This window comes from Homo sapiens, chromosome 5, assembly GCF_000001405.40.
Source record: "Homo sapiens chromosome 5, GRCh38.p14 Primary Assembly".
Lineage (NCBI taxonomy): Eukaryota > Metazoa > Chordata > Mammalia > Primates > Hominidae > Homo > Homo sapiens.
Genome location: NC_000005.10, coordinates 132,887,187 through 132,902,667, shown reverse-complemented (window position 1 = coordinate 132,902,667; position 15,481 = coordinate 132,887,187). Strand labels below are relative to the sequence as shown.

Here is a 15,481-nt window from a genome sequence, read left to right as displayed (position 1 = left end):
GCTTATTTCCCCTGTAGTCACCAGTATCTCATATTATTGGGCTTGAAGGTGTTACCAGTTTGGTGGTTGAAGAATTATATTTCATTGTTTGATTTACATTTATTTGAGGGTATTTTACATAGACATTTTACAGTCTAAATAGCCATCCTTTAGTTGCTCACTTCATTCTTTTTGTTCCAGAAAGATATAATCCTTCTAAAACTTCAAATGGGCACCAGTCTAAATCGTAAGTTTATTGCTTAATGAGTTTAATATTTATCATTTTTGCTAAAAGTTACCTGTAATATCTAGGTATTTTGAACAGTATTTAGAAATATTGAGGCTGGGCAGGGTGGCTGACACCTGTAATCCTAGCACTTTGGGAGGCCAAGGCAGGCAGATCACGTGAGGTCAGGAGTTCGAGACCAGCCTGGCCAACGTGGTGAAACCCCTTCTCTACTAAAAATAAAAAAATTAGCCAGGCGTGGTGGCGAGCGCCTGTAATCCCAGCTACTTGGAAGGCTGAGGCAGGAGAATTACTTGAACCTGGGAGGTGGAGGTTGTAGGGAGCCGAGATCGTGCCACTTCACTCCAGCCTGGGCCACAGAGCGAGACTTGATCTCAGAAAAATTAAAAAATAAAAGAAATATTTAAGGCATGAGCATGCAAATTTTTATGTAAAGGGTCAGATAGTGAAATATTTAGGCTTTCAGAGCCACATAGTCTGTGTTTTGACTGCTCAGCTCTGCCATCTGTAGTATGAAAGCAGCTGTAGACCCTAAGTGTGGCAGTATTCCAGCCACACTCTTTAAAACAATGTGGTAGGTTGGATTTGGCTTGTGGGCCACAGTTTGCCCACCTTTGCTCTGAGATCATGGTTTTTTCTCATCTGAGAGTTGTATGTGTATGTTTTTGTGTGTATATTCCTAATTTATATTTAATAAGTCATAAAATAAAGACAGGATTCTTCTTTAGGCCAAGCCCTTCATTTAACCACTAGATTAAGTAACATACATAGTTTGTACTGTCTTTAAGTTTTCTTATTTTTATTTTGTTGGTAGAAGCAGGAATATATATAAAAATGTAACAGGGTAATGTATTGGATGAAAATAAATTCCAACTTAAAGAATGAACTCCTGAACTCCTGAGACCACAAGTTAACTCAGTGATTAAAGCAAAGTTCTAAAGAAGCAGTGACTACAGTGCCAGCTTTCTATGCCATAGTCACAGACTATACTGTGATGACCCTAGCCTGGTAGCACTTCAGCTGAATATAAGAACTAAGAATGAAAATACATGAACACAAGAAGTACCCCCTTCACTGCTGAAAAATTCAAATTATACTCCTATTCATCATACTTATTTATATGTAAAGAACGGATGTGGTCTTACCATATATATACCTATCACTTTGATTGTGAGGGAACAAAAGCGTGCAGGGCCCTGAGCAGTCTGGTAAAAGCTTTGACATATTCACATGTGTAAACAAGTTCATTGAGCTGCCATTGTTAAATCATAAAGGCCGAGAGAATTCAGACTAAGTACATTTCCTTAGAGGAAAATCAGTCGTAGAGATAGATGCACTAAGCCCCTGTCTGAAAGAAAACTCTTTTTTCCCTGTTCTGTTTAATTGGGCCAGTCTTAAAAATCATCTGGTTACTTTATTTCAAGGTGGTGTTTAATATGTAATATTTTGAACTTAGGGTCAGATATAGAAATGTTGGTTAAACTTTGAGGAGGAAAAGTACAAGTAGTTAATAGAGTGAAAGAAGATTTCCTTCTCACTGATTGGAGATTGTAATGAAATTTTAAGAAAGGTAATGGAATTACTGATAATGAGAAATTAGACATTTTCCTAGTTGTAGTTCTCCCTAAGCTTTGTATTAATTTTTCCTCCCATGTAAAAAGACAAGGAATGTTTTGTGGACTGTTACATAGAAAATTTTAAGTTTAATGGTTTTGATTTTATGGCCTTAAAAGAAAATTTACATCTTTAATTTTGCTTTCAAAAACAAATTCCAGAAACTGTCAGCTTATAGTATTTGTGTGTATGTGTTTTAATTGATTTGAAGTTTGATCAACGGAGATTTTGGAACTTGGGAGTTTTTTTTGTTTTGTTTTGTTTTTTTGAGACAGAGTCTCGCTCTGTCGCCTAGGCTGGAGTGCAGTGATGGGATGTCGGCTCACTGCAACCTCCAGCTCCCGGGTTCAAGCAATTCTCCTCCTACCTCATCCTCCTGGGTAGCTAGGATTACAGGTGCCCACCACCACGCCAGGCTAATTTTTGTATTTTTAGTAGAGACAGGGTTTCACCCTGTTGGCCTGGCTGGTCTCGAACTCATGACTTCAGGTGATCCGCCAACCTCAGCCTCCCAAAGTAGTGGGATTACAGGCATGAGCCACCGCACCCAGCCAGAACTTCAAAGTTTTAAAAATATATACATAGCCATTTCTGCTATATAGCCAGGACTTTTACCCAAAATATTTATTTCTACAGAGGGCACTTTGTTTCATAGCAAGGCATTTATGAACTAGAACTTTGGCTTAGGAAACCGTTCTGGTTTTCACAGTTACCCAGTTGTCAACAGTTATACTAACCTCTCTTTATGGAACATGGGGGACAAAGGAAGAATTGCTTGATGCTTTCATTTTATCTTCCTTCTTTTTAGGAATTATATCTCTCTAGTGGATTGTTGGGTATGACTTTGTTAATTTTTAATAATGAATGTGTGTGTGCAACTAGGGGAAAAGTTAGAGATTACAGAACTGAATTATGAGAGTTTATAGAAAGTAGCTTTTGTTTAATTAGAAAAGGTGAATATTTTATTCATGGGAAGGATAGAGCTTAGGAATGGTTAAATTCCTCCATTCTCAATTTTGAGATTTTGAACCAAACCAGATAGAATAAGACTTACTGGTGTTTTGTTTTTTGGTTAAATTTTTGGCTACCACAGTGATTATTTCTAGAATTTTTAGTAGATATTTAGTACTCTGGCATACCATGTAAACTGTTCCAAAAATAATAATTCTTTGTCTTTTCCCTCTAGTATGTTAAAAGATGACTTAAAACTAAGCAGCAGTGAAGACAGTGATGGGGAACAGGTGTGTCTACTATTGTATTATTTTGCCAGTCTCATATAGTATTTTCATTGTATTTTATAAAAATGATAATTGAATAATGCATTTATTACTTAAAATAAGTTTCTTATAAGCTTTCTGACACTGAAATGTTGTAGTTTTCTTCTCTGTTTTTAAATCTCCATTTTTTTCTTATTTTTTTAAAAAATTGGGTTTTCCTCAACATTTATTATGGATCAAAACATACTCATGAAGCAGTAGATTATTGACAATAATAACTATTAACAAAGCTTTTGATCTTATTCTGGCAATTCAGTTACTCTTCAGGTAAAAACAGTATAAGTGCTAAATATTGTTGCATACATTAGAGAATCCAGTTTTTTCTGTTAAGAGTTCAGATATTATTCACACTAAGCAAATAGAATACTGTTTATTCATTCACAGATTCTTTCTTATGTTTTAATTTTAGGATTGTGATAAGACAATGCCGAGGAGTACACCAGGAAGGTGGGCATCCTTTTCTTTTCTGTTTTATTGGTAAGAGTTGGGTCAGCCTGATAACATTGCAGGGATATAATAAGTGGCCTTATAAGTAAATATTAATTTTGATAATGGTTGTACAATTCTGTAAATTAAGTCATTGAATTATACACTTAAAGTGGGTGTTTTGTGTATTATACCTCAAACTGTTTTTAAAAGGTGAGTATTAATAGCTAAGTAGCACATCAGAAACTTTAAAAAGAATTACTCATTTCATTTACAGTGAAGCTCTGGATTCATAGAATTATAGCAGTCTAACACATAGTAAACATTTTAAAGAAAGTTGCAGCCGGGCGCGGTGGCTCACGCCTGTAATCCCAGCACTTTGGGAGGCCGAGGCGGGTGGATCACCTGAGGCCAGGAGTTTGAGACCCACCTGACCAATATGGTGAAACCCCGTCTCTACTAAAAGTACAGAAATTAGCCGGGCGTGGTGGTGGACGCCTGTAGTCCCAGCTACTTGGGAGGCTGAGACAGGAGAATTGCTTGAACCTGGAAGGCGGAGGTTGCAGTGAGCTGAGATCGTGCCACTGCATTCCAGCCTGGGCCACAGAGCAAGACTCCGTCTAAAAAAAAAAAAGACAAGAAGAAAAAAAGAAAGTTGGTTGTCGATTTGGATGTTTTCCTGTTGTCAATGTAAAATAAACTTTGGACATTTGTATATTTCATCTCTTTTAGTAACTCTGAACCTTCACACCATAATAGTGAAGGAGCAGATAACTCCAGGGATGATTCTAGTAGCCACAGTGGATCTGAAAGCAGCTCTGGATCTGACTCAGAGAGTGAAAGTAGTTCCAGTGACAGTGAGGCAAATGAGCCATCCCAGAGTGCATCTCCCGAGGTGAGACAGAGGCGGTGGGGTACCTTCCACAGGCCCTCTCAGGGTCCTTGGTGATGTCCATTTAAAACCTGATCCAAATATAAAAGGAGAAGGAAAGAAGGTTCCATAGTCTGACAAAAAGAAATTGTACTGTGTACGTTGGAGGAAATCTAGATGGTTCCTTGTTGTTTGAACAAATTCGGTCTAGATTAGGAACTGCTTGGCATATTACAGGTCACTAAAATACTGTGTACCTTTAGTTTGGTCTTTTATTTTTATGACTCAACATGGTAATTGATGTTCTGTGGTTACAAAGAACATCATGTTGTTGATAAAAAGAGTCTTATGTAATACAATTTTGGTATAGCTTGTTAAATTGCAGTTAAAAATCTCTTTGTACCTACATCATTTGTTTACTTTCTAGAATTAAATATTCTGTACGGTAATTTGTAATTATGCCTTTGAAATTGGATTCTTGAATAGGAATATTTGCTATTTAAAGGTCATATATAACATTAAGCTTATCTTTTTTTTTTTTTTTAAGATGGAGTCTTACTCTGTCACCCAGGCTGGAGTGCAGTGGCTCAGTTTTGGCTCACTGCAACCTCCGCCTCCCGGGTTCAAGTGATTCTCCTGCCTCAGCCTCCTGAGTAGCTGGGATTACAGGCGTGCGCCACCGCATCTGACTAATTTTTGTATTTTTAATAGAGACAGGATTTCACCATGTTGGTCAGACTGGTCTCAAACTCCTGATCTCATGATCCGCCCACCTCAGCCTCCCAAAGTGCTGGGATTACAGGTGTGAGCCACCGTGCCTGGCCACTTATCTTCTTATTCAGATGATAAGAGCTAATAGTCAATACTCAGCCCTTTGCTTTGGTTCATAGAGAACCATTTGCTTTTGTTGCATTAGGCATTGTGGTTTTTCCTCTTCTTTGAGGTTGTAAAGGAGGGAGAACGAAAAAAGCATTCAGTATCGAAAAAAGCATACATATTTCTCTGTTTTTCAGCCTGAACCCCCGCCAACAAACAAATGGCAACTTGATAATTGGCTGAATAAAGTGAACCCACATAAAGTGTCACCCGCCTCTTCAGTGGACAGTAACATCCCATCATCTCAAGGCTACAAAAAGGAAGGCCGAGAGCAGGGCACTGGGAATAGCTACACTGATACAAGTGGACCTAAAGAAACGAGTTCCGCTACTCCGGGACGAGACTCCAAAACCATCCAAAAGGGATCAGAAAGTGGGCGTGGGAGGCAGAAATCTCCTGCACAGAGTGACAGCACAACACAGAGAAGAACTGTAGGCAAAAAACAACCCAAAAAGGCTGAGAAGGCAGCTGCTGAAGAGCCTCGTGGAGGCCTGAAGATAGAAAGTGAAACCCCTGTAGACTTGGCTAGCAGCATGCCCTCCAGCAGACACAAAGCAGCCACCAAAGGCTCAAGGAAACCCAATATAAAGAAGGAGTCTAAGTCTTCCCCTCGACCTACAGCAGAGAAAAAGAAATATAAGTCAACAAGTAAATCTTCCCAGAAATCAAGGGAAATCATAGAAACAGATACCTCATCCTCAGATTCAGATGAAAGTGAGAGCCTTCCTCCTTCCTCACAAACTCCTAAGTACCCCGAGAGCAATAGGACTCCTGTTAAACCCTCCTCAGTGGAGGAAGAAGATAGCTTTTTTCGGCAACGAATGTTCTCTCCTATGGAAGAGAAGGAACTTCTTTCACCCCTCAGTGAGCCTGATGACAGGTACCCACTTATTGTGAAGATTGACCTGAATCTTTTGACTAGAATACCAGGAAAGCCTTACAAAGAAACAGAGCCGCCCAAGGGGGAAAAGAAAAATGTGCCAGAAAAGCACACGAGAGAGGCTCAGAAACAAGCCTCAGAAAAAGTTTCCAACAAAGGCAAGAGGAAGCATAAGGTTTGTGAAGGGTTTTTGTTGTTTGTTTTGAAACATCAGAATCTGAAATGCGGTGGAAATCTCAGTAAGCCACAAAGTAACAAGGTGGGTCATAAGCTGTGAAGGAAAATAGTGGGTAAACCCAAGGCCCAGGCGAGGCTACATGTGGAACAGTCTCTTGAGGATTTCTGTGCTTCTGCCTGTGTCCTTCAGTAAAGCAGAATAGTTGCTAATGAAATAAGAAATGAGTCAGTGCTTTTCAGCATGTGCTGGCCAGTGTAGAGGTTAGAGAGCAGCAGCTTGCAAATTGGCATTTGCAACATTCTCAACATTTTGGTTTTAGGTGTTTTTAGTTTGGATATGTACTCCCCGTATTGTTATAATCCCTACCATTCTCTTCTGATGTACACCCAGACCAAGTCACACTTAAATAACTAATCTGCTATGCACCTCTATGCCCCAGCTTATTTTCCTTAACAAAGGTCAGAACTAAAAATATTGCTGGCTTATAGCCAGCTGTCATCCCTAAATACTTCCAAGATAATTTTGGATATAGAGGCAAAATTTGTATATTTAAGGTCTGCTTTTCTTAGACTAAGGAAATGTGAAAACTCACGCATGTCTGTGATTGGAGGATAATAATCGTACAATGAAGAGATCTGAATCACTACATATATAGAGACTGTGGGAAAAACAGCCTGATCTTTTCAGCTCTAGTGAGGAATTTACAGGAGAATGTAAAGTTTTAAGTAGTCTATATCAAAGAATACTATAATTTCTTCCGATACATGTCTATGATTGTGAAAGACCAGAAGTTAAGCTTGAGTAGGTGAACAGATAGGTACCAGAATGGCCTTACCAAGTAAGTAAACTTAGAACACAAACACCACTCCAGTTGACCTGAGAATCACATATACTACAGGGAGAATAGAGCACTTTCTTAAAATGGAGTGAGATATTTTCCTCTCTCCTTTTCATAAAACCACAGTGCCACGTGCAGATGATATATATTCAGACAAATTAGAATAATACATGACTTCTTTTTTGAATCTTTAAAAATTGAAATTGTCCACATTATTTAAATTTTTAGAAAACCAAAGCTTACTACTCTCTATACTATACCTAATGAGTTTCCATTATCATAGTATAGAGATGTTTTGCTCAACTAGTAAGCTGTTTAGGGCTGCTGGCCCCTGTAGCCCACAGCCTCAGATCGCTGGACTTGGCTGTGGGATTTAATTCATAGAATAATGTGGAATAAGAGCTTGTGTATGATAGACTCTGCTCTTTTGGAAGCTAGGACTTTTTTTATGGAATTTTAAAAAATGGTCCTTTTGTGCTTAAAAAGTATTACTTTTTTTGTAAGATTTTATTTTATTTTTCTTACTTTTAGAGACAGGGTATTACTCTGTCACCTAGGCTGGAGTGCCATGGCATTCATAGCTCACTGCAACCTCAAACTGCCGGGTTCAAGTGATCCTCCCTCCTCAGCCTCCCAAGTAGCTAGGACTACAGGCATGCGACCCCACACCTGGCTAATTTTTTATAGAGATGGTATCTTGCTATATTGCTCAAACTGGTCTCAAACTCCTGGAATCAAGCAGTCCTCCCACCTCAGCCTCCCAAAGCACTGGCATTACAGGTGTCAGCCACCACACCTGGCCCTTCTATAAGGTATTCAGACATTTAAAATATAAAGTGTCAAGGGCAGTACCTGGAGGTAAAGCAGGTAGTACTAAGAGAAGACCCAGTTAAGGGTAATAAAGGATGTAGATTTCTTTTTCTCATGTTTTCATTTGTCTGTCTTTATTCATTTGTATAGGGGAACAGATTCTTTTGTTATGGTAGAATATTTGCATTCTCGTGCCCTGATATTTGAAGCAAAAGGAAAACTTAGATTCACTTAGAAAAGTAACATTGGCAATGGATGGGCCCACCACTTGTGTTTTCCATCAGAAAGTTTTTTGAGTCACTAGGCTGTGCTATGATCAAAAGTATGGACCATAAAAAATGTTGGCAAAGTTGTGAAAAAGTTGGAACTTTGATATGGTGCTGATGAGAATAGAAATGATACCACTGCTTTGGAACATAGTTTGGTAGTTACTGAAAAAGTTAAACATAGAGTTACCTTTTGATCTGCAGTTGTACTGCTAGTTATATATCCAAGAGAAATGAAAACATGTCCACACAAAAACTTGTACTTGAATGTTCATAGTAGCATTATTCATATTAGCCAAAAAGTGGAGACAACCCAAATGGCCATCACCTGATGAATGACTAAACGAAATGAATAAATTCTATGCAGTGAATACTATTCAGCCATAAATGAGAATGCAGTACTAATCCATGCTGCAACATGGATGAACCTTAAAAATGTTACACTAAATGAAAGGAGCCACAAAGGCCACATATATTGAATGATCCATTTTCCTGAAATGTCTAGAATAGGCAAATCTATAAAGATGAAATGTGATTGCCAGTGTCTGGGGGAGGAGGAGATGGGGAGTGACTACTAATGGGTATAGAGTGTGTTTTCAGGATAATGAAAATATTTTAAAATTCATTAAGCCGGGTGCAGTGGCTCACACCTGTAATCCCAGCACTTTGGGAGGCCAAGGCGGGCGGATCATGAGGTCAGGAGATTGAGACCATCCTGGCCATGGTGAAACCCCGTCTCTACTAAAAATACAAAAAATTAGCTGGGAGGCTGAGGCAGGAGAATCGCTTGAACCTGGGAGGTAGAGGTTGCAGTGAGCTGAGATCGTGCCACTGCACTCCAGCCTGGGCGACAGAACAAGACTCCGTCTGAAAAATAAATAAATAACTAAATAAATAAAATTAAAATTTCATTGTGGTAATGGTTGTACAACTCTGAATATACCAAATGTTATGGAATTGTGCACTTCTAAAGAGTGAATTTTATGTTATGTAAATTATATCTTAATTATAATTTCACAGATACTACCTCCCAAATCATTACATTGAAAAGATGCCATCTTAGAGACTGTAGGAAATGCGTTTCAGTCTCTGGGTTTTGTGTATCTAAAATAGGCGACCTCAGCCTTAAAACCTCATCTTCTTGAATATTATTTAAATGAATTATAGTACTTCTCTTTTATCTTCTTTCTGATGCCTAATCATGGATAAACTCTTTGTGGGTAGCTAGTGCTGGAAGCTGAAGTTAGTTGAATAAAAATCAGACCACGGTTTCTATTTTTCATCTAGAATGAAGATGATAACCGAGCCAGTGAGAGCAAGAAACCCAAAACGGAGGACAAGAATTCAGCAGGCCATAAGCCATCCAGCAACAGAGAGTACGTTCCCAAAACATGTTGCATGCCAGTGTTGTTAATATATGTATATCATTTGATAGTGGGTACTTTCTGACATGCTCTGAGTGTTCCTTTTAGTAAGCAAGTGTTATATAAATGCATACACATAACATATGCCAAATAGTGGGAGCTTTCACTTTTAGCTAATAGGGATGGAAAACATTTAACATTTAATTAGTTCTTCCTTTATTCATTTTTTATTGGGGTAGGGGTGAGTATGGGGGGAGAATTAAAGTAAAGCTATGCCACTTTCTGGTTAGATGGCAAACTTATCTGTAATTTCCAAGAGACTGGTTGCCAACTTAAAAGTGGTAATCTCTTCATTCACCATTCATCAATTTGTTCAATCATTCAGCCAATATTTATTGAGTACTACTGAGTGGTAGGTCAGTTTTTGGCCCTGGATTTACAACCACGGGAATAAAAACAGAGAAGATGCCTACCTTCATGGAATTTACAGTCTTATTTTGTTTTATAGAAATCATGTGTCCTAGTAATCAAATGGGGAAAAACAGATTTGTCTTGAAAGCAGACAAAGAGAAATGGAAAAATCAATTACCCCTGTATTACTGTGTGGAGAAATGAAGGCATTCGTTTGGTTTGGCAGGTCATCTAAGCAGAGTGCTGCAAAAGAAAAGGATTTGTTGCCTTCTCCCGCTGGGCCTGTTCCTTCAAAAGATCCAAAAACAGAGCATGGCTCTCGGAAGAGGACTATTAGTCAGTCTTCTTCCTTAAAGTCAAGCAGTAACAGCAACAAGGAGACGAGTGGCAGCAGCAAAAACAGTTCCTCCACATCAAAGCAGAAGAAGACCGAAGGGAAGACTTCCAGTAGCTCCAAGGAGGTTAAGGTAAAGTGTTGGGGGCCTGGGGCTTTTGAAAATCATTCAACTTGCCATGTGACTTTTCCAGGGTGACACTGTGCTTTGAAATTATTGTAACATCTCAGTAAATATATAGGCCTATGTCTTTTACCCTCTATATGTAATAATCCTGATAAATGAATACAGTGATATAAGACTGTGAAGGTGGTAAGTCAGCTGGTCACATACATATTGAAAGAAAAACCCTTGGGTACAGTGGCTCATACCTGTAGTCCCAGCTATTTGGGAGGCTAAGATGGAAGGATCATTTGAGGAATTTGAGTCCAGCCTGGGCAATGTGGTGAGACCCTGTCTGTAAAAGAACTTTAAAATTTAAAAAAAAAAAAAAAAGATAGAAACCAGTCATTGGAAAAGTTGGTTATGGAAGCTTTTAAAATAAGAACTAAGTGGTTCTAGTTGCTAAGATTGAGTTGTTGTATATTGTTTGAAATAGGCTTTGAGTTTCTCAGAATTATACTTTACAAACAAGTTATATTACGTAAAGTGACAAAGCAATCATTTGACTTTGATTCATGAAATAGAAAAAGAAATCTTTAGCTAAGTTAGCACTGAAATTATTTCTAATTATTATTCCTAGGATACTCACAATGCAGGGGAGTATTCTTCATGTTTATAGTTGGAGATTTGGATCAAAGGAGCTTTTTCAAGGCTGTACTTTAATAGTCACTCAACCTCAATTTGTTTACCAGGTTGTTTGCTTTCTAAACTGTTCTGATCAGGAGCAAATTTACTTAAATCAGAAAATACCTATTATTTAGTAAGCAAAGGTTTGAGAGTTGAAAAATAAGACTCCTTAAAGCTATTATATTTATTAACTGGTAAAATTAAAATTTTTTAAATTGAGATTATTTTAATTAAGAACTTCTCAAATTAAAATACACAGAAAGCTTTTTCTCTAGCTGAACAACCTCTTTCTTTAGTAGTTTAGTGTTAGCACAAGGTGCTTAGGACCTTGACTTTTATATTGGCCTGCTTTATTGCTCCAGTTCTCCATCTGCCTGCTGATGGTTTTTCTCCATTTCCCATCCTTTAACTGTAGGATTTGAGGCCTCTGTGCTTGCTTCTTGAAACCTGCTATTGCTTTTTTAAATTATTATTTAATTTAATTAATTAATTTATTAATTAATTTATTTATTTGCTTTTAAATAAGTGAGCTCTCCTGCTCATTTGGATTCTGCTATCTCGTAGGTAAAAATCACTGTGTATGCTTCTATCACACGTAAGAAAGGAGTTTCTTCAAGAAGTTCGTCAGCTTCTTGAAAGCAGGCATTTGTGTCTTATTTTGTGTTTTATCCGGTGCTTAACTTGCTGGGTAATGAGGAAATATTTGTTGGATCAAATGTAGTCATTTGGTACTCTGTTGTTTTCAACAAAATATGGAATAGGGCCTTACCACTTTGATTTCAATAGCTCTTGGCACTTAACAGTTACTGAAGTTAGTATTTGTTAGTCTTGACAATTTCCAAGTTAGGCAGTGACATTTGAGTTTATTAGAGAATAATCTGTAATTTAGTTAGGAAATATGCTATTTTTTATTCTATCAACTAAAGAAAAAATTAGATCTGGAAAATCAACATTGCACATAGTTTTTATATAAGAAAACTGTGTTTAAATATTTGGAAACTTATTTTCAGAAATCCTCTGAAAAGCAAATCTGAATGTAGGTCCTTATGGGTCTATTTATAAAACATAGAGGGGGCCAGGCATGGTGGCTCACGGCCTGTAATTCCAACACTTTGGGAGGCTGGCTGGAGGATCGCTTGAGCCCAGGAGGTTGAAGCCACAGTGAGCCATGATTGCACCACTGCACTCCAACCTAGGCGACAGAGTGAGACCCTTTCTCAAACAAATAAATAAATAAAACAGAGGAAAAGCTATCCTAGTAATGTTACAGTACAACATAATATTCAGAAAGCCATTTCAAAGTATAATTATATATTTAAAAATTTTATATTTTTATATAAATATAAAAAATTTTATATGGGGTAAATAGGTAAAGTAAAATTATATATTATTGAGTTTTCTAATGTTGAAACATCCATGCATTCCTGGAATAAATTCCACTTGTTTATGGTGTTTTATTATGGAAAAATGTATATTCGTTTTATTAAAGATAGGGCTGGATGGAAGGCAGTTGAGAGAGAGTCATAGCTCTTTCATAAAGGGCTATATTGATAGGAGGCAGAATAGACATATAGCCAGGTGCAGTAGTACATGCCCATGGTCCCGGCTACTCAGGAGGCTGGGGTGGGAGGATCACTTGAGCCTAGGAGTTTAAGATCAACCTGGGCAACATAGCAAGACTCCCATCTCTTAAAATAAAAAAAAGACATGTGGATGAGAGGCAGAGTAAAGTTTAAGAAAGTAACTAGGCTTTTGAAGTCTGGCAATTCTGAATTTGAAACTCAAATTCCAAGAATGCCATTTAAAACCTGTTTGAACTTAGGCAAGTTACTCAACCTCCTTGAGACTGCTTTTTCATTTTATCTTAATAGCAGTACTTATTTCATAGGTTTGTTAAAGGATTAACAATAATGCTAAGTACTTAGTTAACTTAGTGCCTGGTAAGTAGTAAGCACATAATAAATATTAGATGCTATTAATATTATTGCTGTTTTCATTGACCAGTAACTACCAATAAATGTTGCCGTAAGTAGTGCTGCCATTTTCATACTAGGCTTTTGTCTTCCTTATGTTTTAACAACTGCCTAGGCCAGTGCCTGGCATATAGTAGACCCTTATATAAATATTAGAATGAATATTTCAGTTATATAAAATGGACCCTTTTTTTTTTTAAAGTTTACATTATGAAGTTTATAAAAGTTTTGTAACAAGGAAATTCATTATGAAAGGCAATGAAATTTTGTTTCCTTTTTACCAGTGGCTGAAGAAATGCTATTAGTTTCATTTTTAATCTCCTTACGGTTTTCATTGTAGTTATATATTTTTTTGGTCAGGAAAAGGCTCCAAGTAGCTCCTCTAACTGTCCTCCATCTGCACCAACTCTTGATTCTTCTAAGCCTCGGAGAACAAAGCTTGTCTTTGATGACAGGTGAGATAATATGATTTTTTGTATCTGTATTTAAGAAATGATTCCAGTCAGCATATAAGAAACTCATTTTCATTTCTATCATTGGCCGGGCGCGGTGGCTCACGCTTGTAATCCCAGCTCTTTTGGAGGCCCAGGCAGGCAGATCACGAGGTCAGGAGTTTGAGACCAGCCTGACCAACATGGAGAAACCCTGTCTGTACTAAAAATACAAAAATTAGCTGGGCGTGGTGGTACACACCTGTAATCGCAGCTATTCAGGAGGCTGAGGCAGGAGAACTGCTTGAACCTGGGAGGCAGAGGTTGCAGTGAGCCGAGATTGTGCCACTGTACTCCCGCCTGGGCAACAGAGCGAGACTCCGTCTCAAAAAAAAAAAAAATCTATCATTGATCAGAAGGATATATACTTACGTATGATCTGCAGAATATTCAGGTTTCAATTTGAAAAGTACCCACTAGTCCAAGTACGGCTCCTTTAGCTTAACTCCATGACTCCCATGAGGGATGTGAATGATCTGCCTTCCAGTAGAAGAATCTTACTACTGCTGATATCACTGTTAAAATGGAGGGTTTCTTAAATGAGGAAGAGCAATATTGTTTTTTCCTCTATTTTAATAAAAGGTAATTTCTCCTACTCACATTTTATTTATGCTTAATCTTACAATCAACTTGAGTAACTTAGTATTTGATACTAGGGAGCTTGATTTCTGTTTTCCTAATTAGGTTTGCCATGAGTTGGTCAAAACAACTTATGCTTTTAACCTGATATAAACATTTGTCAGAAAATACTGAAACAAATTCTTAGTAACAGCTCATTTTCTTTGCTTGAGGACATAAAAACTGAGGGATACTAGATACTGAAATGAACTAGTATTATGAAAATATTTACTATTCTATTTATAATGAAAATTTGTCTTGCAGAAATTATTCAGCAGACCATTATTTACAAGAAGCAAAAAAGCTAAAGCACAATGCAGATGCATTGGTATGTAGATATTCTCCTTACACTTACGTATTTAATCAAATTAACTTAAGTAATCTTCTGATGTTTGTAGCCATAGTAGATCATTACTCATTACTTGCATTCTCCTTTCTTCAGTCTGATAGGTTTGAGAAAGCTGTATACTATCTTGATGCTGTGGTATCTTTCATTGAATGTGGGAATGCATTAGAGAAGAATGCTCAGGAATCCAAATCCCCATTCCCTATGTATTCAGAGACGGTGGATCTCATCAAGTAAGTGGAAAAACTTGGCAGATCATTGGCAATAACATTATTTCTCTGGTCCATCAAGGAAGAGGCTGATATATAGTAAACTGAAGAGGGTGTATAATCCTTTAATGTCCTTGGATAAAGGAGAAGTAGATACTTCAATGAGTATTTTTGCTTTTATTTAGGTTTGAAATTCTAATGTTTTGAGGACAAGTGAAATCATAAGATCAAGGTGAAGTATTCTGTTTGTCATTTGTTTGTTATTGTAACTCAACAGATACACTATGAAGCTAAAGAATTACTTGGCACCAGATGCTACAGCTGCAGATAAACGACTCACAGTACTTTGGTGAGTTTTCTGTGTTCTAGCCTCTGCTAGATACAGGAAGTTCTATAATAAATAGTGCTGTGTGTGCTCTTCTGAATGTTTTCCTTGAATCAGACTTCTGTAATCCTGTCTTAAATCTGTTCCTGATGGGTCAAGCAGGAAGTAACTCAAAATTCCTACTGAAAGGTTTGAGTTGTTGTCAGTCTCTGATCCATTTCCCTCTTGATGAAAGCCTTGGCTTTGTGAGACTGATAGTAGAAACCTCCATGGTCTTGAATAATCACTTTTCCACACTCTTCATTTGGTACCCGCTCTCTCCATTCACATATACTTTTCCTTAGGGAGCAAGCATCTA

At 37.6% G+C, this 15,481-nt stretch overlaps 1 protein-coding gene across 5 annotated transcripts in view; it reads left to right on the top strand.

Moving 5' to 3' along the window:
- The window catches only part of AFF4 (ALF transcription elongation factor 4), an 88,240-nt gene that overhangs the window by 60,967 nt on the left and 11,792 nt on the right, over positions 1–15,481 (top strand). For 4 of the 5 annotated variants that reach the window (XM_006714587.5, NM_014423.4, XM_047417103.1 and 1 more), the window contains 11 exons: positions 181–226; positions 3,027–3,081; positions 3,527–3,564; positions 4,276–4,438; positions 5,428–6,345; positions 9,550–9,638; positions 10,264–10,504; positions 13,495–13,589; positions 14,508–14,571; positions 14,686–14,822; positions 15,076–15,147. In XM_006714587.5, the coding sequence (XP_006714650.1) occupies positions 181–226; positions 3,027–3,081; positions 3,527–3,564; positions 4,276–4,438; positions 5,428–6,345; positions 9,550–9,638; positions 10,264–10,504; positions 13,495–13,589; positions 14,508–14,571; positions 14,686–14,822; positions 15,076–15,147 (1,918 nt within the window). Of the gene's footprint in view, positions 1–180; positions 227–1,537; positions 1,797–3,026; positions 3,082–3,526; positions 3,565–4,275; positions 4,439–5,427; positions 6,346–9,549; positions 9,639–10,263; positions 10,505–13,494; positions 13,590–14,507; positions 14,572–14,685; positions 14,823–15,075; positions 15,148–15,481 lie in introns of those variants that run through there. The other variant, XM_005271964.5, reaches the window with a different exon arrangement.